General features: G+C 37.0%; 1 protein-coding gene across 2 annotated transcripts in view; it reads right to left on the bottom strand.

The window, feature by feature from the left end:
- RAB3C (RAB3C, member RAS oncogene family) overlaps positions 1-27,614 on the bottom strand; it is a 277,243-nt gene that overhangs the window by 113,215 nt on the left and 136,414 nt on the right. For both annotated transcript variants that reach the window (NM_001317915.2, NM_138453.4), the window contains exon 3: positions 20,060-20,178. In NM_001317915.2, coding sequence (NP_001304844.1) covers positions 20,060-20,178 — 119 coding nt within the window. The remainder of the gene's footprint in view (positions 1-20,059; positions 20,179-27,614) is intronic.

The raw sequence follows: 27,614 nt of genomic DNA, 5'->3' as shown, positions 1-27,614 counted from the left end.
ATTCATCATCAATCCTACAGAAATTGGAGATTACTTTGAGGATATAAAACTCCTTTGAAAGAGCAAATGTTCCCATCTACTTTATCAAATAAATTATCAACTTACACATTCTGTGAATTGTCTTAATTTGATTAGTCTCTGGAAAGTATCAAAGCAGTCAGCTAAAAGGGACTGTTTAGATAAGAAGAAAACCCTGTAGGAGGGGTATTTATGTAGGATAAGATTGGGCTTGGGCATTTTCCTCATTCATTCATTCATTTGTCAACTGAATATTAATTAAGTGCCTAAGTATAAGGTTCTTTGAAATATCCTTGGGAAATATGAGGATAAATTTATTTCATATTCAACTATCAAGAACTTTACAGCAAAGTACAATAAAGGAAAAAGTAAACATTGGTAATACAAGGTAGAATATAATAAGTGCTTGTAAGATATATAAGGGACAGTGCTGAGGGAGCCCTGAAGAGGCAATTGATCCTGGCCAGGAGATCAGAAAGAAGGAAAGATAACTAACATTTAATAAATACCTGCCTCGTGGCTGGCCTCCGCCAGGACTTTACTCTCATTATCAAGGAGATGTGTCTGAGGTGAGCTTTAGGGGACAAGGAGGACTATAGAGACCGGCAGTAAGGAAAGGAGCCCTTTGTTCTGATGGAAGAATGGAAGTATCAGGGAGCACCATGCATTTGAATAACAGCTTGTGGTCTGGTGGGTCAGAATGAAGAAAGGTACTTGGGCTTATTATACCCCATCTACTTTCTTTTTTTTTTTTTTTTTTTTTTTTTTTGAAGCAGAGTCTCGCTCAGCCCAGGCTGGAGTGCAGTGGTGCAATCGGCTCAATGCAAGCTCTGCCTCCCGGGTTCACACCATTCTCCTGCCTCAGCCTCCCAAGTAGCTGGGACCACAGGCACCCGCCACTATGCCCGGCTAATTTTTTTGTATTTTTAGTAGAGATGGGGTTTCACCGTGTTAGCCAGGATGGTCTCGATCTCCTGACCTTGTGATCCACCCGTCTTGGCCTCCCAAAGTGCTTGGATTACAGGCGTGAGCCACCGCGCCCGGCCCCCATCTACTTTCTGAACAGTTGGTCTCGGGGAATGGGGGCTTTAAAAATCAGAGGGTGACATGAAAGTCCTGGCAACAAGGAAGGCAGAGAGGAAAGGCAAGGACTGAGAGATAGGCCAAAAAGGCAATCCTAGGGACAAAGGTTGATTCCCCAATAATGGCCTGGTGACCAGGGCACTACGTGTCTTATTTCCCCTGAAAAAAACTGAAATCGGAGAGAATAGGATATAATTCATTTTGACGTCTTTCACAGTGATTGCCGTGGAAAAACCCTTCAATTGCAAGCAAACAAATAAACAAATCCCTTGTTGGTTGAATAGAATCTTTTGTTGTTGTTGTTGTTGTTCTCCAGAGAAACATAACAGAACCTTGTATGCTATCTTCAACATACTGTGGACTTCATATCCATGTTTTTTAAAAAACATAATATTTGAAAAACCACAAACATGACCATTCCCCTGTGCCAATTCAGAAGCTTTCAAAGTTCAGAAACTATGGCCTTGCCTCTTTTCTACGCAGTTATGTCATCAGAGAGAAAAATGAAGCCAGCAGTGGGGCACATATGCACTGCGGTTTCTTTTCAAAAGACCTCTCCAGTTGCTGTTCATGCTCATGAGAAGGTGTCCTAGACTGAATTAGCTGGAGATGTCATACACTGCCGATGAATCGTGTGACGATGACTGCATGTTTGCAGATATATTTACCCCAGGCATGCAGAAGCCTTCTCCCTATCAGTCCTTCCTTGTCTACTTCCATTAATAAGATAGTCAAGGGGTCCCAGGAACCTTTGCAGAGGCAGCACTGATGAGAAATCTTTGATAGAAACAACTTCTCATCATTGCATTTGTTATTTCTTCCAGGGGACACTACTTGATTCAACCCATGAGTTGACGTCTGTCTTTCTCATCTTGAGACAATGTCTACAACAAACCCCTGCCTCAGAAAGCAGCTGGTTCCACTGCAGATCTTGTCCTTGTACATGACCAGGACTTGTTATATGAATCCTTTTGGCCCAAACACTTCAGTTTGAATTCCTGATCCATACACAGACTCTATGCCATGTGTCTATCTGAGTCACAAAATTTCTGAAAACACACTGGTAAACAATTAACATTAAGATCCAGTCCAAATTTTAATGTATTGGCCATAGAGGTAAGGGCATAAGAAAATAGTTCTGAAAATACAGCTATATGAAAGGTTAGGAAGCTATATAAGATCTATTTGTGTATTTTCCAAGAATGTTTTATTAACACTCGACATGAAAGTTCAATTCCAATAATATGTGACCAAAAAATTACTTTGGGAAAAGTTCTCATTTTTCAATGTGACCTCACATTGCAATCCACTTGGAGAGATTTTTTAAAAATCCTGATGCTGTGTCCTTTGCAGGGACATGGATGAAGCTAGAAACTATCATTCTCAGCAAATGAACACAGGAACAGACAATCAAATACTGCATGTTCTCACTCACAAGTGGGAGTTGAATGATGAGAACACACGGACACAGGGAGGGGAACATCACACACTGGGGCCTGTCGGGAGCTGGGGGCCAAGGGGGAGGGAGAGCATTAGGACAAATACCATAAGCATGAGGGCTTAAAACCTAGATGATGGGTTGATGGGTGCAGCAAACCACCATAGCACATGTATACCTATGTAACAAACCTGCACATTCTGCACATGTATCCCAGAACTTAAAGTATGATAATAATAAAAAAAAAATCCTGATGCTGGGGTCACAATGGCAGAGATTGTGACTGAATTGGCATAGAAGATAAATATGCCTTTAAAAGATCTCCAGGAGACTCTAATATATGGTCTGGATTGAGAACTAGTATCTTAAAACAAAAACAAAAACAAAAAACAGTGCCTACCCCATGATGCCAGGTACATTAGATTTTTCTCCTCTTTTCCTCATGGCCACCTTGTAAGTTAGGAATTCTTTTCTCATTTTTAAGATGGTCAATTAAGGCTGAGAAAAGTTAAGTACTGTCAAATTTCCAAGGTTGCACAGTATTTGGGTCTGACAGATTTCTCTAACTTTGAGGCAAAGCATTCTCAGCTCTCCTCATCAGACTCAGAGTCCCCAGCCTGGTGCCACTTTTCCTTCTCAAAATGGAGCTTTAATTAAGAACTCTGCTGTAACATGCACTCCTTTCTTTCTGCCTTTTTCATTCCCTCCCGTATCCCTATCTTTGTTGGCTTTAAATTGAGGGAATTAAAAAAAATTAAAAAAAGAAATTTTCCTCCCAGCTTAAGGAAATTTTTCCTACAAGAAGCTGTCTTATCTGCTACATAAATGAAATCATATTTGGTACTTTTTGATGCATTTTATAGGGTCATAGGATGTAAAACTCTGCTCTGTCAATTCAGAAAGCACTCATTTCCACAGTAGAAAATATGAAGGCAAAGATTTACATAAATTACCATATTGATATACATATTTAAAATTCACAGTTTATAAAAAACAGAATGATAAGGAAATAATTTAAATGATAACAAAGCATCTATGTTTTCAAGTTGCTTAGATATTTGATATGCAATTAGGAAGTGCTGGGTTTGGGGTGGAGAGCACAGCTAGTTTTTATTATACTTAACTCCTTGAATACCAGGCAGCAAATCTATCAAAAACGTCATGATTAGGATCAAATACTGTGAAATTCAGAGAGGGCCTAAAGCTGACCAGAGGAATTTGATCAGAGATAAGGTTATGGACAGAATAGGAGGTCAAAATATTTGTTGCTCTATTTCTTACTAATAAAAAAAGAACATTTTGACATGGGTGTTTTGATGAGGGCTATATAAAAACGACCCTGTCATACTGGCCTTAGCACTACGTTTAACTTCAGTGGCAATGAAGCCACTGATTTGAAAAGCAAAATTTGGGGAGCCAATAAGGGCAAAAGAAGGAAGGAATGTCAAGGGGAAAGTGAGATGCCAATAAAAGTATTGAGAGGGCCAGGGGAGACAGGTAGGCATGGCTTCAGTTGGTGTGCACCATTTTTTGTCAGCTTTACGGGGTATCTGGAGAATTTTCCACTGGTTTTATACAAGGGTGCTGGAAAACAATATTAAAAACTCTATCTTTAACTTATCCTTTTTTTTTTTTTTTAGACGGAGTCTCGCTGTGTTGTCCAGGATGGAGTGCAGTGGTGCTTTCTCAGCTCACTGCAACCTCTGCCTCCCAGTTCAAGCAATTCTTCTGACTCAGCCTCCTGAGTAGCTGGGATTACAGGCACCTGCTACCACACCATGCTAATTTTTGTATTTTTAGTAGAGACGGGGTTTCTCCATGTTGGCCTGGCTGGTCTCGAACTCCTGACCTCAGGTGATCCACCTGCCTCGGCCTCTCAAAATGCTAGGATTACAGGTGTGAGCCACCACACCTGGCCAACTTATCCTTTTTTTAACATCTAGTTTTCTGTGAGTGTTTTCTAATGTGCACTGTAGACGGACATAGTGGTATGTGATTACTATTCATAGATAAATAATAATTTGTTTATTATTGTGTAATAAACATTGTGTGATAAAGAATTTGGCTGACCTTTGTTTCTGGTTCTTGAGAGGTAATCTTTCAACCCATGGAGTTTCCCAAGTGATTGGAGTGTCTTTGTTCTTCAAGGTGGGCCCCATAGAGCATATTTGATGGTTTATGCTAATGTGATGACTCAGGATGGAAGCCGGCCATGTTAGGAAGACCAAAGACATGATGAGATGGTTGGGACTTTGAGCCAGGTGGCATCAGTTCCACTTCCAAGGAGAGAAGATGCATTGGAAATTGAGTTCAACCATTTGGGCAAGGATTCGATCAGTCATGCCTATGTAATGAACCTCCAATAAAACCTCTCTGGACACTAGAGCTTGGGGAAACTTCCCTCGTTGTCAATACTATGCATATTGTCATGCAGCCATGTGCCATTAGGGTAATGTCTCTGAGGACATCAGAAGCTTCTGCTCTGGAACACTGCCAGATCTTGCCCTGCCTATCTATCTTTCCGGCTGGTTCTAATTTGTATATGTTTTTTATAGCAAAACTGTAATCATAACTGTAGTGCTTTCTTGAGTTCTGTGAGTCATTCTAGTGGATTATCAAACCTAAAAGGGGTCACAGAAAACCCCAAATTTGTAGACAGCTGGTCAGAAGTGAGGGTGGCCCTGAGGACTCCCAAATTTGCAGCTGGTGTCAGAATTGAGCCAATCTTGTGGAGAGCTGTGTCCTTAACCTTGAGTTTAGTTAACTTTGAGTAGACACATATTTGATGATTTTTTTTTTCTGTTAAGATATATATTTTTCTGAGATGGAGTCTCACTCTGTTGCCCAGGCTGGAGTGCAGTGGCATGATCTCAGCTCACTGCAATATCCACCTCCTGGGTTCAAGCGATTTTCCTGCCTCAGCCTCCTGAGTAGCTGGGACTATGGGTGCGTGCCACCACATCCAGCTAATTTTTGTATTTTTAGTAGAGACGGGGTTTCATCATGCTGGCCAGGCTGATCTTTATCTCTTGACCTCGTGATCCACCCACCTCAGCCTCCCAAAGTGCTGGGATTACAGGCGTGAGCCACCACGCCTGGCCAAGATATTTTATTTTATAATCAAAATAGTCAATACAAACAAGTTGACATAACAGTTATATAAATAACTGGATATAAACTTTATGAGGAAAATTACCCATGAACATGGTGGCTGAGCTCCCAACACAGGATGGAGACCAACCAGGTGGGTCTGCTTTGAAGACGTAAGAGCCCAGAGGCTGGGATGGCTGGGTGGGGCTGCTCTGAATGGAAGGGATAAGTCACTCCATAAATAAAACACGAACTTGCAAAGACTCTTAAGAAAGGGCCTCATTCAGGCCCAGGCGTGAGGTCCAGGATGCTGCCAACAGCCCAAAACTTAGCAAAAATCCTGTAATAGCTGACTCTGGGCTCCTGAACTGCTTTGTGCTCTCCCATGCCCACACATGGCCCCTGCCTGGCCTGGCTCCTGATCTTGAGGAGGCATGGCTGGCCCAACAACCAGATACTAACAAGTGTGAGATGCTCCCTAAACCAGGAGGCAACAAAAACCAGAGGGCAAAGGGCCTTAAAGCCCAAAAAAGTCTTAATTACTAAGGGTATTTGCTTAAAACAAAGTTTGGAAACCAACTAAAAATACATTCAGGCCTTGTTACATCTCTTTCCTCTCCTACCATCCACTAATGATTGCTTTCAATATGCTGTAGAAAGGAAAAGTACAAAAAAGAATCATTTGGTGTTTATAAATAAAAATTAGGTTGTAGGATACAATAGGCTTTAAATGTGAACCAACTGTTATTCTGTAAGTAGAGACCATAAGATTGAGGCCACAGAAACTGTGACATATGCTTGGGCTGCTTGTAAGTTCTTGTACTTACACTATAATTTTTATCCTTGCTTTGAAAATTGATGGTCTAGAAAGGGAACAGTATGTGAGAATACTTAATATGGGCTCTGTCTAACATGAACAGAATCAGACATCATATACCATGACCTATCTTCTCTGGTGACCTCCCATGTCTAATGTTGTGCTGTTTTTTCTAATTTTTTTTTAATAGTTTCCTTTAATGTCTCTTTATTTTTTTGTTTTTAAGAAGGGGTACATAGGCGAGGTTGGTTCGTAATTGATAACTAGGATAATTATCTTAATTAACTGCACTGCAAAGATAAATTCTAGATAAGGACTCCAGAATTCTCCAGCTATAGAAAGGAATCCCACACTTAGCAAACAATATCAAAGACTTGAAAATACATAGAGAGTAGACTGGGGTCGTATCAATTTAGACTCAGAAGATTTGGCCTTTCTACTCATTCACAATGCAGTGATTGAGTGCATATTTCTTGCTGACTGGGCAAATAGAAAATGAGGGTCAATAACATGTATCATGAGGTACTGAACACATTGGCTGAGGTTAGGAAGCAGACTTGATGGACAGTGTATTCACGATGGTCCTGAAAATAACTGTAAGGTTCAAGTAAGTCACAAATGCAACTGTTATTTTTTAAAGCCCAGAACTCTGTTTTCTAAACAGAATAATCAACAATATTTGCTTTAAAGCAATCATTATAATGCCCACCAAAACCCAGCTGAATATCTAGGACTGGAAAATAGGCTCTTATCAAAACTTCTTCTGAGGAGTTATGTGACAGGTGTAATTATTGTCCTTTAAGACAAATCTACCCTCAAAGGCAAGTAACTAATTTCAAAGAAAAGAGGATATGCATATTGCAATAGAGGGAGACCAAGAAAAATGCTAGAAAATGCTAGTATTTGCAATAAATATTGTAACACATAACTGCATATTAAGAGTTGCGAGGGAGTATATTTTCAGAGTGCAAGTGAAACAGTACAAATAGCAATCATATTTACATAATACCTTTTATTCAAGAGTCTAAGTCTTTTATTTAATCTTCAAATTCCCTATATAGCCTGACTTGGGTAAGGCTGCATCTACATAATTTAGCTTCTAGCCTTCCCTGTAGTGTCAATATTTATGGAAATATTACCACTTCCAAAGTCCAGTGAGGCCAAAGTACAGTTGAGTTGACCAAAACACAAAGTCATAGAGGACAAGTGTCTCTCTCTATTCTCTTAGCTCCTTCTGTACACATAATCAGCACATTAACTGCTAACATGTGTTTCGAACTATTTGCTATTTCCTGAGTTACACGCATGCACACACACATGCACATGCACACACACACACTTTTCTGAAACCAGAATATAAGCCCAGCTTTGTCTGTTTGGTCTGAACAGAAACTTAGCAAAATGCTTAACTAAGACATCTTTAATTCAAGGCTTTACATTTTTTTTTCACATATCTTCATTCTTTAAAGAGCTATTTTCTCTCTCAGTGTTCAGCCTGGGGAATTTATTGAGACAAGCCAGAACCAAGTGCAGCAAATGAAGGTATGAGTGGGAAAAAAACAAGAGAACCCTGACTGGAAACTAAAACAGTAAGAGAAACTTTGAACGGAGGCCGTGAGAAATGAGCAGACATTTCCCATCAGGTTACATGGCATCTTTCGTTCTTTTCAGATGTCTGACATTTGTGCTGTACTTCATTGGCACTAACTTACTGCAAATATACCCCCATCCAAAAAATAAAATGCTGTTTTAGGGAAAGAATGTGCTACAGTAACTAATCAGATAACTTTAAGTCACATTGCTCACTATGTAAGATAAGACATTTTTTTTTTCTTTTCTCTTTATCAGTCCTACCCAGATATTCTCTCCACCTTACTGGGAAGAAGAGTCTCATATAAGCAAAGCTCTGGTAAAACAGGCAGTGCCTCCATATGTGATTTGAATTGAGAGCATTGGTTTGTTTTCATCATAATGATCTGATACTATTCCAGCTCTCAGTCATCATTTTTTTGTTGTTGTTGTAGAAAACATATAATTGATATGTGCCTGGGCCTATGCTAGACTATGGAGATACAATGTGAATAAGATCCAGTCTTATATAATTCTCATTCTGTCATTCATACAGTCATTCATTCAAGAAATATTTATGGAATACCTAGTACATGCCAGGGACTATTCTAGGCACAGAGAATATAATACTGCATAGAAGGGACAGAGATTCTTATCCCAAGAAGCCTGCATTCTTGTTAGGTAGACAGCCAATAAACACAGTAAACAAGTAAATTATATATATATATATATATATATATATATATATATATATATATATATATATATATTTCATAGGGTGATAAATGCTGTGAAAAAGACATAAAACAGAGAAAGGGAATAGAAAGGACTGCAGAAGGTTGCAATATGAAATAGGGTGGGGGAAGAAAAAAAGGCCTTCCTGAGAAGGTGACATTACAGCGAAGACATGAAGGAGGTATGTGGGCTACCATAAGGGTATCTGAGGGAAAAAACTTCCAGGTAGTGGGATAGCAGATGCAAATGTTCTTAGGTACAGGCATGTCTTGAATGTTCTAGGAATAGCAAAGAAGCCGGTGTGGCTAAACTTGGTGGCATGTGGAGAAGATAAGCAGCAGAAGACGAGGGTAGAGAAGCAGTGGGCAAATTGTACGGGGTCTGGTAGGCTATTGTAATGGCTTTGGCATTAATCCAGGAGATGTGGGATGCTGTGAAGTTTTGGAGCAGAGGGGTGACAAGATCTGACTTACAGTTTTAAAAGCTCACTCCAGCTGCTGTCCTGGGAAGATTCTGGGGACTGGACCAGTAGTAAACGCAGGAAGACCAGTTAAGCTGTTCCAACAATGTAGATGAGATGATGGTGGCATAACCAGGTGGCAGCAGTGTATTATGGGTTGAGTTGTGTCCTCCCAAAAGATGTTGACGTTATAACCCCAGGACCGGTGAACGTGACCTTATTTGGAAATAGTCTTTGCAGATGAAGTTAAGACGAGGTTATTAGGGTAGGCCCCAATCCAATATGACTATGTCCTTATAAAAAGAAGAAATTTGGACACAGAGAGAGCCTTTAATATAGAAAAGATAATGTGAAGATGTTTTCAATGGGCTGCACTGGTTCATGTTCTTGACTTCGCCACACAAAAGAATTTGAGAGCAAGTCCAAAGTAAGAGTAGGTGAAGAGGTTTATTGCAAAGCCGAAGTATACTCTGAGGCAGAGCGGGCTGCTCAGAGGGAGAGACAGCAGTGCCTTAGGAGGAATTCGTTTTATGGGAGCTGTATGGACATATTCATAAAATACTGGTGAGGTCAAGTATGCAAAGGTGGACCTGCAGTTGGAGAATGCGCTCAATATCTACATGCTTGAACACACATTGCATGTATCATTAGCATATAAAATCTCCACCTAGGGGTGTGCTTTTTACTATTAAAATTAGGGAAAGGTTACTATGAGCTAAACCTGGAGACCAGATAGGAAGGCAGCAAGATGGGGCCTAGACCATGGGGCCCTGCATGCTGTTAAGGTTGTGGCTAGGAATGGTGCAATGCTGCAGGAGCTGCAGGAAAGCAGGAGGGACAGGGCGCAGATTACAAAGGGCTATGTGCTAACACATTTGAAAACTTAGCTAAAAATGGTAAATTCCTATAGAAATATGAAACTTCAAAAATTGTTGAAGAGCCTAGGTGTACATGCAGGACCCCAGAGAAGCCCCTGGCTCTCACAAGGCAGGAATTTGTAGCTAATAGTTTCCTGGGCTTTCAGTGCTGATTGGCTGGAGATTGGGAAAGCTCTATCAGGAATAAGGGGCTTTTGTTCTCTTTGCTGTACTGGGTATTAGGAATGTATAACAATCTGGCAGTCTGCTGGGATCCTCTAGGACTGCTTACCTTGCAAAAGAGTTAGGTGCTGACACACAAGGGTGCAAGAGGTGTGGAGCCTGCTGAGAAAGGGGCCCACCGGGCTTCCCAAGGGGGCAAGTCAGTAGGGCCTCCTAATCTTACTTATCCTCCCTCAAAGACAAAAGAAGAATGCATTCAACAAGCCAAGGACTGCTTGAGGCTACCAGAAGCTAGAAGAGAGTCCCAGAACAGATTTTCCCTCAGAACCCTCAGAAAGAATCAATCTTGTGGACACTTTGGGGACTTCTAGCCTTCAGAACTGTGACATAGTATATTTCTGCTGTTGAGTCTACCCAGTTTCTGGTATTTTGCTACAACAACCCTAGCAAACTAATATGCAGTAGACGTGGTGAAAAATGGTGGGAATTATAATTCTACAGTTTGTCCTCGTTACTCACATATTCCAAATTTGCAGATTCACCTGCTTGCTAAAATTGATTTGTAACCTCAAAATCAACACCCATGATGCTTTCATGGATAGTTGCAGACATGCTCAGAGCAGCGAGAAATCTGAATTGTCTGACACACATGTTCCAGCTAAGGCTGAACAAGGCCCTGCTCACACTGTAAACAAGTGCCCTTTCACAGTGTATTTAGTGCTATGCTTTTCGTATTTTTGTGCTCGTTGCAGGTGACTTTGCTGCTTTAAATAGCCCTCAAGTAGAGTGCTGAAGTGCTGTCTGCTGTTCCTGAGCATAAGAAAACTGTGATGGGCCTCGCATAGAATAAACGTGGGTTAGACAAGCACCTTTCAGGCATGAGTCAGAGAATAGTTGGTCCTGAGTTCAATGTTAATGAATCAACTGTATATATTAAATAAGGTATATTTCTGTAGAAACTCAGACAAAACATAGTTATGTATCAATTAGTTGGCAAAATGTGATGGAGGCTTGCAGGACAACAGCCTTGTAATTCCCTTCTGGGACAATAATTCAGTATTTGCTAATTCAGTGTCTGTGGCAACTTTATAGGGCATAACTGCCATGGATAATGAGAATAGATTGTGTTTTGAAATCAGACCCAAGATATAACAGTATTTTTTGAAGAACTGGGTGTGCAGTCTGAGAAAATGAGAAGTTAAGATTAACTCCGAAGATTTTAGCCTGATAAGCTAGAAAGATAGAGATGTCATTTATTGAGATGCAAAGACAACGGAGGAAACAGGGTGTTTTGAGTTTTTGTTTTTGAAGGGGCTGAGGATTAGGAGCCCTCTATTTTCTAAATATAAATTTGAGTTTAAGTTGGGTTATCTGCACAAAAATAATGTTCTATGGTTGGGTCCGACCAGCAATAAGAAATGTATCATTAACATCCAGGGAGAAAGAAGAGACTCCCCGCGGTCCAGTGTAGGGTGGTGGTGAGAGTCTGGGGGCAGAATTCTGTGCTCTCATCCCACCACTGCCCCCTCTGAGCTGTGACACAGAACTGACCTTTTAGTTGATAGGAGCCTTGAGCTAGATTAGAAAGCTCTGAACAGAGGCTTAGCAATTGCTCCTCACATCTTAGTTGTTATTGGCAGGCTAACTTTCATGTTTAACATGAAGTAACCTTAATTTAAGACCACTATGTAGTTTTGGAGGGGAAAGAAAAAGAAAAAAAAACTGCAGAAGGGAACATTTGAAGGTGAAATTTCATTCTAGTTTCAGCATATCTGCAGTGGTACCCTGAATGTCACAGAAATGAATTATTTAAAACTGATAGGAAGAGAGTGTTAGACTTTTATCCTCAGCCTCTGATTTCTTAAAAAATATCAATCTGCTTACCAGAGTTCCTGCTCTTAAAAAACCTCTATATTTATAGTTCCTCATTGTATCATAAAAAGCAGAATGTAAATAAATAAGAGAGGGGGAGAAAAGCCAATGATATTCTTCTACAGGAAATACAGCAGCCTGTGGCCATGCCATACTTAGAACAGAAAGATGTTAAAATCGGGGATGGAGAAGATTTTAAATCAAGTTCAAATGCACTGCAATAGGTGCAGACCCTGAGCCACAGTGCTAGAAAGAGCCTGGCCAGGTACTTGAGGTCATGTTCTAATTGAAACCCAGTAAACTCTCTGGTCACAACCCATTTGAGAAACACTTCGAAGGAAGTGAAGTTTTCAGCGGTGATCTGGTATTTCTATACTTACTTAAGCCTATTTAGGACCTATCTCTTTAACAAATCATTCGTTAATTTATTTCTTAAATCAAACCCTGCTGGGGGATCCAGACACAGAATACTGTGTTTTTAAAAAAGAAGTAGCCTTTACTTTCCCAAAACCATGGAGCCACTAGATTGCTGCCTTTGCCTCTACAACTCTATGCTCCTTAACAAACTGTAGATTTAAGCCAATAGATATCTGGCAAATTAGCCTAGTTAAGGACCATGATGACACACATTTTTACCACATGGACAAGTCTGAAGCACATCGTAAACATCATTGCAGCTTCCAGTGTGATTGTTTATAGCCATCTAACATCCCTGTGATTTTTATAAAACACTCCAATTAATTAAGACAACTTCACTAGGTCTGCGTTTTCTATGTAATTTTACTCACTCATTCCATGAATATGGTCTGCGTTTTCTATGTAGTTTTACTCACTCATTCCATGAATATTGAGCAGCCATTAAGTGCCAGGCACTACAGTAGGCACTGGGATGTAAAAGTGGGGAAGATAAACAGACTATCTTCGAGGAAGTTAGAATCCAGCAGGAAAAAAGATAACCAAATAAGCAGTTTTATAACTTGTAACATATACTGGGTAGTATTGTTTCTAGAGCTCACTACATAAGCAACTAACCTACTCTGGGATTAAGAAAAGTTTCTCAGAAGAAATGAGAATCTAGCTAAAATCTGAATGATGACAATAAATTAGCTTGATCTGGGTGAAGGTTGAAGGAATATGGTTTGTTATGAAAGGCAGAGCCCAGGGGAAGAGAGACCCAGAGGTATGAGAAGTTCAAGGGACTGAAAGAAGTTCAGAAACTAGAAAGAATTTAGCAAATATATTAATATAAGGTCAGCATCTGGTTTCCAAAATATTGGATGGAATATAAGCACCTGAGGTCTTCCTCAGAGAGCATAACTTTACATATCAAACTGCCTATCCAGCTCCTATCAAAGGCATAAAGCAGAAAACGACATTTAGAGAAGATAGTCTAGGAAGCATGTAATCCATTCATTCCCTTGAGTGGTTACCATTCAGTTCTTGGATCATTTGAGACCACAAGAACTCTACGTGCTTGGATTATATTTGCCCAGCCACTCACAGAGGCCTTCACTGAAGGTGCGCAAATATTCTGTCTTCTTTAAGAAAGAAAAAAATGAGTCTAAAGTCATGGCCTTTTTAGTACTAGTTATAAAAGCTATTGTTAACATAAACCCAATGTGCCCCAAATAAAAAGCATTTCCATCCAAATTCAACAAAAACTGTTTTGAAGTTTCTTATTGCCCTGTAAGATTGATATGTTTTTTCTCCTTTCCTATAATGAGAGCTATATAATATATCATGTTTAATAAATAAAATATAAAAAAATTTTTTTGGCCTTGGTTATTACCTTGGTTTTCAGCAATCTCATAACCAAATTGTATTTCAAGCACAATAACCGTTTGACCCTTTGGATTTTCTTAAGCTTTAAAATTCATGGCACATGTATACATATGTAACTAACCTGTACAATGTGCACATGTACCCTAAAACTTAAAGTATAATTTAAAAAAAAAAAACAAAACAGAAAAAAATAAATAAATAAATAAATAAAATTCTCTATAAGACACCTTTTATGCAACCCCTCAGATCTTCCTGGACTCACCTGTCTGAAGGGCTCTTGGTCACTTGTTCATTCCTTCTGCTAACCACTTCTGCAAGGGCTCTTCTGGACTATCACCTGTGTTATCATGACATGGGCACAGCCCAAAGCAGCTTATCTCAGGCCAATGCCACAGACCCCTTGCCTCCCACACCAAAGTTTTCCTGCTGCTGCTGAGCCATGAGTCACCCATATATGTGTAACTGGGAAGTGTGGAAGAGTTAAAGTCCCAGAAGTGAACATTGGACCAATAGAAGAGAAAAGCTAGTGGGTCAGTTCTTCCTTCCTTCTACCAGATAGTCTGTCCTGAGATGCATTATTCATAAAGCACCTCTGAAGACGTTCCTGTGAGATCAATGGTCAGTTATACTTGCTACCAAGTAGAGATCAGTTTGCAAATCCCAACACCCTCCATGTTTGTTCTCTCTCTTCCCTGATGCTCCCTTTTCTCCTCACTCTTGCTTCCAGGCCCTGTATGTCCCAATAAACTATTAGCACATAAAGCTTTTTCTTCTCTGTTTCAAAGGAATGACAGCTACAAACCATCATCCTGATTCTTGGGAGTTACTTTCTGCTCATATTTTACTAACCACAGTGTATGCATTTTTTTATGTTGAGTTTCTCACATTCTTTTTGAAAATTTATAGATTCTACATAAATTCTAAATAGGCTTACAGTGAGCTTAATTTTGTATTAATTTTACAGAACTGGGGAATTTGGCCAAAGAGGATAATTTAACTCCTTAAATAAAATTCCACTGGAAAATTCAAAGCACAGTCTAATGTGTTTTCAAAAAAGAGATAGCTTCCATTTCCTCAAAATAATCTGTTAGCTCGCTGCTTGCTACTCTCTCTGAATCTCCATGCTTGCTGATATGGTTTGGCTGTGTCTCCACCCGAATCTCACCTTGAATTGTAATAATTCCCACGTGTCATGGGAGGAACCTAGTGGGAGGTAACTGAATCATGGGGTGGGTTTTTTTCCCATGTTGTTCTTATGATAGTAAGTCTCACGAGATCTGATGGTTTTATAAATGGCAGCTCCCCTGAACATGCTTTCTTGCCTGCTGCCATGTAAAATGTGTTTTTGCTCCTCCTTCACCTTCTGCCATGACTGTGAGGCCTCCCTGGCCATGTGGAACTGTGAGTCAATTAAACTTCTTTCGTTTATAAATTACCCAGTCTTGGCTGTCTTTATTATCAGTTTGAGAACAGACTAATACACTTGGCTTCTCCTTAACAGACCAGAATTTTTGTGTAATAAAATGTTTTTTGAAAAGGGAACTTTAATTCTTCCTATATAGTAAGACAGTTTTAGGATTTTGGAGAAATCACAGTCAGCAAGCTTTTTTTTCTTTCTGAATAATCAAAGTGCATTTTGTTGGGAAGAGTAGCTGAAACTTTAGCTGCAGCTCAGCTTTAATTAATTTTTCTTTTTGCTAGATATGTTTTTCTGTATTTTTTATACACTTAAGATCAGCACTTGGAGACCAGTAATTTAAAGAATGTGTTTCTTTGTGCTTATTTCTTTCAGAATACCTTATTTCCTGTTGTAGAAGGCCATCACTGAATATCAGCAAGCTTCCTCACCCACAACCACCATTCAATTATACTGTACATGTAGAGTAGGCTTTAGTAGCTACAGTGGAATGGTTTTCCCCAAAGGGCTTTTTTCTTTTATTATACAATTCTATTCCTATTCCTTAAACATTTCTTAAGATTTCTGATTTTTTTTACTTTTGAAATTAATAATAATTTTTAAAATATCCATTTTGTGCTAGTTATTATGTCAAAAAGGAAATACAGATAAATAAGATAGTCTTTCCCTACAAATAGTTTCTAATGTAGTAGGAACTTAAGACAAGTATACACTTAAGAAAAACGAAAAGATAAATATAATTGGTGCCATAGCGGCAATACACACACAATCTTAAATCTATTGTTGAGAGGAAGAATACAACCGTTAATTCCTGGCTATGTCAGTTTGAAGTAATTTCTGTATTTTTTGCTGGGAAATCAGGATGTAATTCTGTTTAGTACTTTAGATCATCTATTCAAAATATATATTAGATTAATATAGGATATGTATATGTGTATATATATAATATAAATATACATATAGTATATGTATATGTGTATATATAATATAAATATACATATAGTATATGTATATGTGTATATATAATATAAATATACATATAGTATATGTATATGTGTATATATAATATAAATATACATATAGTATATGTATATGTGTATATATATAAATATAAATATAAAATACAATATTTTTTGTGTTTATATATACACATACACACAATGTACATTATGTAACACGTATTGTGTGTATGTGTGTATGTATATTTTATTATATGTAACATATAAGTTATATATAATGTATATTTTATTACATATAATAAAATATAAAATGGAAGGACATTCTGACATGCTACAATATGGATGAAACTTGAGGACAGTATGTTACGTAAAATAAGCCAGTCACTAAAAGACAAATACTGCATGATTCCACTTATATGAGCTACTTAAAGTAGTTAAAATCGTAGAGACAGAAAGCAGGTTGGTGTTTGCTGAGGGGTGCAGGGAGAGAGTGATGGGGAGTTACCATTTAAATATAAGTTTTGCAAGATGATAAGAATTCTGGAGCTGGATGGTGGTGATGGTTGAATGTATTTAATACTACTGAACTACATACAGAAAAAATGGTTAAGACAGTAAATCTTATGTTATATATATTTTACCACGATAAAGAAATGAGAAAAAAATAAGAGTGCATATATTGTATTGTATTGTACTGTATTCTGTAATGGGGAAAAATGATTAATGAAAATATAATGAAATAATAGCAGAGTCCGCTAGGTCTTACGTGATCTGCAGAAAGTGCCAGGGTAGTGTGGGTGCAGAGATGAGGGTGTGGATAGTGTTGTCTGTTATGAATAAAGGTGGGAGCAGGTAGGAAAAGGGGTAGAGATATCTTTTAATCTTTTAAAGCTTTGTAAAAGAGATAGCCTTGAAAAGTAAATAGACTTTTTAAAGATGACAGAGGAAGTATTTCAGGCAGAGAAACAGAGGTAGTAAAAGGATGGAGTTCAGGTAAGCTGAGAAAATTTCTGTTTAGTTGAAACATAGAGCGTATGGAAGAGAGTCATAGGAGATGATGTCAGTGAAATAGATACCTGGAGGTTGCACTGTCCACTATGTTAGTGAGTTTGGATTTCATTATAAATCAATGGTCTTAACCAGAAATGGGCTTCAGAATCACCTGTGGAGCCTTGAAAAATTCATATGCCCGTGTATCTCACGGGAGATTTGATTTAGTAGATCCAGAGTGGAGTCTGGGCTTGTATATGTTGTCAAAGCTCTACAGGTGATTAACATGTGCTCCCAGAATCGCTACTGTACATAATAAGATATTACTGGAAGTTTTATTTTTAAGGCCCGAGATGTACTAAGGTTCACTTATGTAGCTCTGATGGCAATAAGATGGATCACCTGTAGAGGGTGGAACCTGAAGATAAGGAGAAAAGATAAAAGACTCCTAAATGAATGGTTTGGATTAACACATTGGCAATAGGAAGAAAAAAGAGCAATAGATTGGAGAGGCATTTAGAAAGTCAAAATGATTGGACTTGGTGGTCAATGAGATTCTATTTGTAAAAGAGGAAGAAATAAAAGACAGTGCTCATATTTCTACATCAGATAACTGGGTGATGGTGGATCTATTAACTGAGATAGTAAATGCTGGCATAGGTACTAAACGCTATGTCTGATGGATTGGCTGTCAAAGTTAGGTGCTCAATAAGTGCTTGTTGAATGAATTAAAAAACCCTAATAAATCAAGTGATCATCTAATTTTGGATGAAAAAAGTAGGTAAGGGTTTGTTTCTAGAACAGGCTTTTGTTGGTTTTTGACAAATCTATATGCCTTGGGGCAGATGGAGTAGCAGATTGAGGAAAGAGACATGCAAAGCAGAGAAAAAAAGGATAGAAGAAAAGAAGCACAAATGTTGGAAAGTTTAAGCTGGGCTTCAGAAACAATGAATGGTTTAGTTTGCTTCTAGAATAGTAAGAGATGAAGGCATGAAGATATAGTGGCACCATTACGTGGTATGTCTGAAAGTCAGGCTGAGGAAGTTTTAATTAATTCAGCAGGCATTGATGAGGCAGGAATTTTGGGCAGAGGTCTTCCATGTTTTTAAGATCTTGTTCTTTTGGAAAACTTATAATAGCACTTCTGGCCTGGGATTCCTGGATCTCAACATTTTAAGACAGGAAGTAGTCAAGGTTAAAATTACCATATTACATAGCAATATGTGTTTCAGGCTATCTGTGGCAATTAACTAGATATCATAACACTCTTAATTGAACCAACCTTTTTGTCACTAACTTGAATGCTACTTTTATCATCAACTATATCCTCATATAGATTTATGCCTATCTCTGGATTTTCTATTTCATTTCATTTTGTACAAAATCTGCTGTATTTAATTAAGATTGCCTTGAGTTTATAAATTAGTTTGAGAAATACTGGTGTATTTACAACATTCAGTTTACTAAAAAGAATAGTTACTTAAGCTTTCTTCTGAATTCCTCAGTGGAAGATACTTATGTTTTCATATACATCTTAAACTTGTCTTTTTTAGTTTATAACCCTGTATTTCTCTTTTGAATTGCTATTGCCAATGGTATTATTTCTTGCATTGTAACTGTGTGTGTGTGTGTGTAAATAAGAAGTCTTCCTAGATGAACAATTAAAATTGGAAAGAAAAAAGCAAAAGCAAATGGAAATATTTTTAAGAGTATCTGACCCTCACTGAACTGATATATATGTAAAAATCATTTTGGATAATATTATCATAGAAAACAAACAAAAAAAGAATGCTGTCTGTTTTGCCTATGTATTGTCAAAGTTTTCCTTACATAAGATAATATGTGATTATATTTACAGTTAAAGTGCGGTATTTCTTCAGTCAGTCCTAGCCACCACCAGTGGGAACTCCATTTTGGGAGCTCCATTTCCTTCCTAATGTCACACAAAGCCCTACCTAGATTCTCGCTCCTTCCACAGAAAAACCGTCCTCTTTAGCCCTGTGCTTGAGCTCATGACCAGATCTCACTGGCTTTTCAGTGTCTGCTCTCAAGGTGCTGGTGGGATAGAATGAAGGATACTGTAGCCGTAGGAATAACCCCCCACCGTAAACACTCATCAGGGTCAGAAGTATTTTCAGATAGTTTCATGCAGCTATGAGTCAGAAAAAGTTTTGGTTTTATCTTATCCTTTATCTCAGTCCTTCAAAATTTTTCAGTTTGAATAACCTATTTAACAAATCTTTTGGATAAGGGGTCCATAAACTTTTTTCATAAATGGACAGATCGAAAATATTTTAGGCTTTACCGGCAATATGGTTTCTGTTGCAACTACTTAACTCTGCTGTGGTGGTGTTAAGGCAGTCAAAGACAACAGTGAGGGGAGTGTATTCTAATAAAAGTTGATTTACTAAACAAGCAGTGGGCCAGATTTGGCGCAAGAGCCATAGTTTCTAGATCCCTATTTTAGATCAGTAAACTTCCAAACCATTCGTTATTTATATTTTAAAAAATCAAAAGCAATGCACTAGTTTCCATGGAAGCGATGATGACAAAATGCAAAGCACTGGAATGAACAAAATGCAGAAAAATCATCAGAATGACTTCTTATCAATCCCTGAATAATGCTTCTGTGCATAAACAGCATTTTTTTTTAAATGAAGCACAAGCGGGATTGTAGTGTAATGTAAACACATATATTACATTGCGGTATGGTCACTGCTTTGGGAAGAAAGACAGAGTTGACCGGAGAACCATCATTATCAGTAATAAGAGTATTTGCTCTGACTTACCAATCTTGTACTGCATTGAAGGATTCTTCATTTGTAATGTCATACATTAAAATAAAGCCCATGGCTCCACGATAATAGGCTGTGGTGATAGTCCTGTATCTTTCCTGGCCTGCTGTGTCCTAAAGAATAAAAAAAAAATGATAATCTCTCAGAAATAAGGCAATACATTTTTGGGAAGTGATTAATAATTCCAAAAAGAGTCACAATAGAGTCTAAAATGTACTTGTTGTGTATAGCTGTCTATCTTTTTTGGTCTTGTTTCCCCTAATGATTTTTAAAAATGATTTTTTTACTGATACATAATAGATGTAGATATTTTCAGGGTACATGTAATAATTTAATAGATTTATATAATTTGTAAAGATCAAATCAGTATAATTAAGATATACAACACTTTAAATATTTGTCTTTATGCAGAAACATTCAAATTATTCATTCCTAGCTACTTTAAAATATACAATCGATTATTGTAAATTATAGTCACCCTACTGAGTTATCAAACACTACATCTTATTTCTTCTACCAAACTCTATATTTGTACTTCAAATGACCAAATCTAAAAATTATTGGCATTCAAAAGAGTTGAGCAGGAGCAAGGGATAGAAAGCTTATTTAAAGAAATAATAAGAGAAAACTTTCCAAAGCTTGAGAAAGAGATAAATAATCAGAGGTAGCAAGGTCAGGGAATACCAAACAGATTTGACCCAAATAAGACTACCCCAAGACTTATAATAGTCAAACTCTCAAAGGTCAAGGACAACTGGAGAATCCTAAAAGCAGCAAGTACAAAGAAGCAAATAACATATAAAGGAGCTCCAATTTGTCTGACAACAGGCTTCTCAATGAAAACCATAAAGGCCAGGAGAGAGTGGGACTGCATTTTCAAAGTGCTGAAGAAACCTGCCATCCAAGAATACTGTAGCCAGCAAAAATATCCTTTATCTATGAAGGAGATGAAGTCTTTCTCAGGCAAACAAAAGCTGAGAAAATTCACCACCACCAGACCCATCTACAAATGCTAAAGGGAGTTCTTCAATTTGAAAACAAACTCCATTAATATGCAAAAAGAAGACACTTAAAGGTATAAAACCCACTGGTAAAATTAAGCGCATAGACAAACCGACAATACTGTACAATTGTGGTGGCAATCCCCTCATAACTCTAGTATGAAGCCCAAAAGACAAATCTATGAAAACAACAGTAGTTACAGCAACCTGTTAAGAGAAAGGCAATATAAATATATGTAAATTGTAATAACACAAAGTCAGAATGTGGGAGGATGGAGTTAAAGTGCAGAGGGTTTTTTTTTTCATTTGTTTCTTTGTTTCTGTTCTTTTCTTTGTGATCTAGGATAAGTTGCTACCTCTTTTAAACCACTTTTATGTCCTAATGATTTTTATATTGCAGTTCTGCAATATTCTGAAAAATTCTTTTTTTGGTAAAGAACCCGCTCAAAGTACCTTCTACATATGTTTACTTTCATTAAGCAGCATCTGACTATAGAAAACAAAATAAAAAGATAGATCATATTTATTTAAAATCTGAGCTTTTTATTGCAGTTTAAGATCAGAGGAGTATATTAGCTCCACCACTATGCATTTGTCTATCTACCAAGTACAAGCCACTGTGGGGGGAAAAAAGGAAGTTTATAAAAAGGTCCCTGCTTTTAAGAAGCTTGCAATTCAGTCTCAGTTTATTTAATTGTAAAATGGGAATAAAAAAACCTGCTTTGTATGTATGTTTGAGTCAGACAGATCCAGATTTGAGGTCCTTCTCTCCCATTAGATAGCCGAGGAATGTGGCCAAGTTACTGAACCTCTGTAAACCAAATCCCTCTAACATTTAGCATGCTTGTTAGGGTTCCATGAAGTAATTCATGTAAAGTGCTTCCCACAGAGAGCAGCACACAAAAATTGGTCAATAAATGGCAAGTACTAGCTTTTATTACTTAGATGTGGGACAGCAAGGCTAATACAAGATAAAGACAGCAGCTTACAAGTACAGAAGTTTGACATTTGCAAAAGAGAGATGGCATATAACAGTTCAATTTGGGAATCAGAGGCAGATACATTACCAAAATGGACCTGTATACATCACATATACCTTATAGTGTAATTAGAGTAATTGTTCCTCAACTCAAACTCCCTCCTCAGGACCTGGGGCATCACTTATAATTCAAATGCTCTTCAGTTTCTCTCTTCGCCACTTTCCCTGGAGATTGGCATCTAACTTCTCTTTCCTAGTACTCTTTAGATGCTTAGCAGTTTGGACAGAAATATTATCTTCTTTCTGACATCAATCTGGACTCTCTTATCCCAGAGATGCCTCCTTTGGATGCAGAGTGCATCCCAGCTACCCCTAAGATTTAACAGGCCTTGGAGGCAAAACTAACATGTTGCACACAGAAACAGCTCCCTTTACCATCAAAATGAAATTAACGTCTCATAAGGTCACTATTGGGAAGGGCTCATGTTGAATTTGCTGTTCTTCACCCATAGGTGTGTACCTGCTTAGATGCTTACACCCCACCATGAACAGCAGTGTGAAACTAAAGATTGCCTACAACTCTTTCCCAATTTGTGTGTTATATCCTATTCGGCTCCTGAAAGTTTAGAGAAGAGTGATCCAAGGAGGCTGGGAATCAGTGAATTATTCTGGAAGAATGTAGGCTATAAAATGGAACTGAAAATTAGCTAAGAGTGTGATTTTTTGTGAAGCCAACAATTATATTCTACTCTTGGAGCAGGGGTAAGGCTGGCCTGATTACAAGGTATTTATTTGGTAATTTTACAGAAAAGAAAGTTTCAAAAGTAAGATGAAAACAGATTATAGCACTCAAAATAGCAGAAATAATGTAGAACAGGTGAGGAAGATCTTTCAGAACATACTATCAATGGCAGAAAACAAAAAAGAAAGTAAAGATTTCACCACATGAAAATCTGTCAATCCCTTGAATATAAAAAAAGTAGAATTAAAATGATAGAACATCAAATGATAAACTGGGAAGTATATTTGCATTAGACCAGAGAGACCAAAGGTTAATATATTTAATATGTAAAACGGTGCTAAGAAATCACTAAAAAAGTTAAATATTCTAATAGTAAAAATTATTGAAAAGGTAAATAAATGGTTAATGAATTTAAGAGTTGAATCCCAGCCATAACAATGCAATGTTGCATAATTGCATGACTATATGATAGAAATTACTTGGCCACTATTTGAATATTTTATTATACTTTGCTTACTATTTTATAAATATTTTAAAATAAAAATGTAGATGCTAGGGATAAACATAGATGTCGTAAAGTGTATCTCATTGGGACAAATATACAAATTAGGCAGAAAGAAGCAACTCTTGAACTTATTTGGATATTCTTGTATATTCATTGGATTTAATTCAGTTAGCAGTATATCCAGCTGTGAAACAAAGAAGAAAGGTAGACAATATGGATAAAATGCCAGGACCAAACTTCAAAAGACTGTTTAAAATGAAAAGCATAAGCAAAGCTTTTGTGATATGTGTAAGCTTTCTGGGGAGCATAACCCCTTATAACTAGTCAGTCTATTTTAAAATTTTCCCACATTTGGCTTGGGTTCGTATTTTCCAGAACATATTATCTATAAATGTAATTTACCATTTTTATTTTGCCTATTGTAAAGTAACTTTAAATGGCTTTCTTTTTCTCTTGGTCACACTTTTTTTTTTTTGGCATTGATTACACAGCATTCTTACAGGTTGGGACCCCATGCCTGCTGCCTTCTCTGCACTACAATAGACAGCTTCCCCCTAATTTCTCAGTAGGGGAAAACAAACAGTATACCAAGACACTGCTAAAAGGTGACCCAGACCTTTTCTGTCAAGCATGTTTTCAGCACAGACACTGAATAATGTTGTATTGGAAAACTGACTTTATCTCTCTCTTCCTTCTTGACCTCTTCCAGTGATGGTGTCCCATTTTCATAAGATGTTAATTTCATTTTGACAGTAAAGAAACTTGTTCTTTGTTATAAAATGCATCAATTTCATATGTGGACATATTTAATCTTTGAGAGAGAAGAAATCAAGTCACCATTATATTCTGATTGAAATGTTACAGGAAACTGTTAGAACCCATGGATTGAATAGCCATTATGTATCAAAATCAAAAAAGAGAGAGGGAAAAACCAGCTTTTAAGAAAAAAAAAATAGAAGCTTTCAGATAGTACGTAAGTCACAGCAAGGGGCAGGATCTTCAACATCATTCTGATTTGAACCCAGAAATACAATCTAATTGGTAATATTTATCATTTAAAAGCTCTCAGGGAGAATAAGAAATTGCACTAAGTAGGGAAAATATAGTAAGAAACAAAATGAGAAAATTTGTTCTCCAAATATAAAGAATAAAATTAAGCTAATAAACAGACACCAAGCTGACTTTGTTTTGGCTTTGAAAACAATTTCAGGATTATAAACTCATTAGCATTTTCTTCCGTTATATCAGGAAGAAAAGGAAGTGGGAAAAACACTTCATTATAATTGACGTTTACTAATGATGGAAGAAGGTTATATCTGAAAGAAAAAAACATTTTATAATGTCAAGTGCCACTAATGTAATTAAACTTGAACAGTCTCAGGTAACTAACTAAAATGGTATCTTTTCCCAATTTGCCCAGGAAGCTGGCTCAAAATCCTGGCTTTGTGTTGTTCCTCTCCCTAGCTGATGCTAATAGCTGGTTATACTTGCTGATTTTCCATAAATGTAGGCTTCTCGTGACTGAAAAAAACAACTGGAAATATCAGAGAGAAAATGAGGGATAAAAATGTGATTAAAAAATAAAAACTTTCTTCCATGAGTGATACAGCTTTCATTTTCCTCTTTTTTTTTTTTTTTTGAAAAAAAAATTATTTCAGTTAGCTTAAATATTTTGATTTCCTAATCATGTTTTTAGGGGAATTTTGGCATTAATGGCAAGTTTGATTAACAAATACTTGAATATCTGTCAAGAAAAAACTATAAAATAGAAAACATTCACAGCTTGATAAGTAGTAGCTTAAAACTTTTTTGGTTTGAATTTTGGCACTCTGTTTCTGCCTTAGAATGTTTTTCTAATGAAATCTTTCTTTTTTAAAACTGTATGTACTGAATTCTTAAAACCTTCTAAGGTCATGCAGAAATAACATTCAGTTTTAAAACTGAGGAAATAGCAGTCATTTGTAAGGTAGGAGTTGTAATGTAATTTGTTTTTTGTTTTAGTGGTTACTTCTCCTTGTATTCAATTAAAGGGAAAATGGGAGTAACCGTTAGTAAAGAAATACAACTCAAATAATATAACCACGATCAAAATACATTTATTGGATACCTAGACAGAGAAAAATAGATCAAAGGACAGACAATCCTGATACATGATAAAGTAGACAATTTTATAGGTGGAGAAACCAAATCAGAACACATTGATGTTAATTGTTCAACAGAAGTAGTTTAATTAAGCTATAGAAAAGAATATGTGATAACCCAAAGGGGAAAGTCAAAAGAAATGGGGGCTGGGAACAGTGTAATCCAAGACAAAAAACCTAATGAGTTTCCAAATGGACATAAAGAAGTGAAATAGAATAAATACTTAGTCATTGAGCACTCAGGCAAGTGGGGATCTCTTAATTCATACCTAGTTACCTTTTGCCCAAAGAAAATGTTTTGAATCATTAAAGACAGATTAAATTATGCTCAGTATATTTTAATGTTAACACTGATTGATTCATTCAATAAACATTTAGTGGAACACCTATTACAAGTTAGGAACTGTGATAGGTATATATTCAATTTATTTTACCTATTCTAACCATATTTGTACATTTTAAAATTCTACACATTGAGAGCACTTAATTAGGAATACCATATTCTCTATATATCTACAAAAATTTAAAGTTGAAGGGAAAGGGAAAATGAGAGTAACCATTAGTAATGAAACATAACTCAAGTAATATCACCATTTATTTCCCTAAAGAACTAGACAGCATAGCAATTTAAAATTGTAATAGAGATAATTTATTTAGTGTCGAAGTCCCTCAATTCAGTTTCTGCTGTGGGTTGTATTGTGTCCCCCAGAAATATACACTGAATTCCTCACCCCAGAACCTATGAAGGTGACTTTATTTAGAAAAAGGGTCATTGCAGATGTAACCAAATTAAATGAGGTCTTCCTTTTTTAAATTATTTCAATAAGTTTTTGGGGAACAGGTGGTGTTTGGTTACATGAATTAAGTTGTTTAGTGGTTATTTCTGAGATTTTGGTGTACCCATCACCCAAGCAGTATACCCTGTACCCAGTAGGTAGGTCACTTTGGATTAAAATGGGCCCTAATCTTTATATACATAACACTTTAGAGATATAACACTCAGAGGAGAAAGCCATGTAAAGGCAGAGGCAGAGACTGGCCTGATGAATCTATAAGACAAGGACTGCCAAGAATTGGATTCTCCCCTAGAGCCTTCAGTGACAGCATGGCACTGCTAACACCTTAATTTAGAACTTCCAGCCTCTGGAACTGTGAGACAATAAATTTCTGCTGTGTTAAGCCACCCAGTTTGTGCCTCTTTGTTATAGCAGCCCTAGGAAACTAGCACAGTCACTGACCCCACTTTGCAATCTTCATGATCAGACTGAAGGCAATATAAATCTCAGAGCTACCCACACACACTGTTAGTACTTTACAGAAGAAAAAACTACAGAAAATTCAAGGTGGTCTATGGAGAAGTCAGACATAGTCTCACTGTGTGAATTCAGGAAAGATGTTATGCTAAAATCCACTACCATGTTCTACATTTAACTTACATTTAAATTAAATGAAACTCTTCAAAAAAGTTGGTTTGATATATCTTGTTACTTTAAAAACTAGATATCTATTTCTCTCTTATTCTAATGTATGTCCTATTAGAAGGACAGAGCAATGTTGCTTGATATGACAAAAAATATATATTAGTTTCTGTTGGAATTTCATCCCAAAATGATTGAGATACTGTTCCAGAAAAATGTAAAGTCATGACGCATATACTGAGACACAACTCCCCCAAACAACAGAAACAACAGAATTTCAATTATTACACACCATGTTGTTTGTGTAATGTCATTAATACTTCTCCCAAGTTGCATTTTTAGAAATTTCCATAAATAGGCACAAAACAGTATTGAATTTGTCTTTTAAAAATAGTAAGAAAAATAGGAAGCTTAAATATTTTATGCTTTCTTGTTTCATTCGGAATGAAATGGAAACTTTTTCCCTAGAGCAGTTAATCCTCCATTAAAATAAAATTTACAAACCACTTTTCCCAACTGATCTTGTGCAGTCAGCCTGGCTTCATTTATGCATATTCAGTTATACAAGCATCTGTGAAACAAGCCCACATTTTAGAAGAGTACTAATAAACCAGCCTCTAAATAGTTCTCCAATCAGTTTAACTCCCTACCTGTTGTCCTTTATCCAACCTTTTCATACCAGCAGATTTTATTGATCAGATTTTTCTTGTCATGATGTTTAGTTTTGAAATACCAAAAACCTTCATTTTACAATGGCATCCAC

The sequence above is a fragment of the Homo sapiens genome, chromosome 5, assembly GCF_000001405.40.
Source record: "Homo sapiens chromosome 5, GRCh38.p14 Primary Assembly".
NCBI classification, from domain to species: Eukaryota; Metazoa; Chordata; class Mammalia; order Primates; family Hominidae; genus Homo; species Homo sapiens.
Note: the sequence above shows the minus strand (reverse complement) of the source record. Positions and strands in the feature narration are given on the sequence as shown.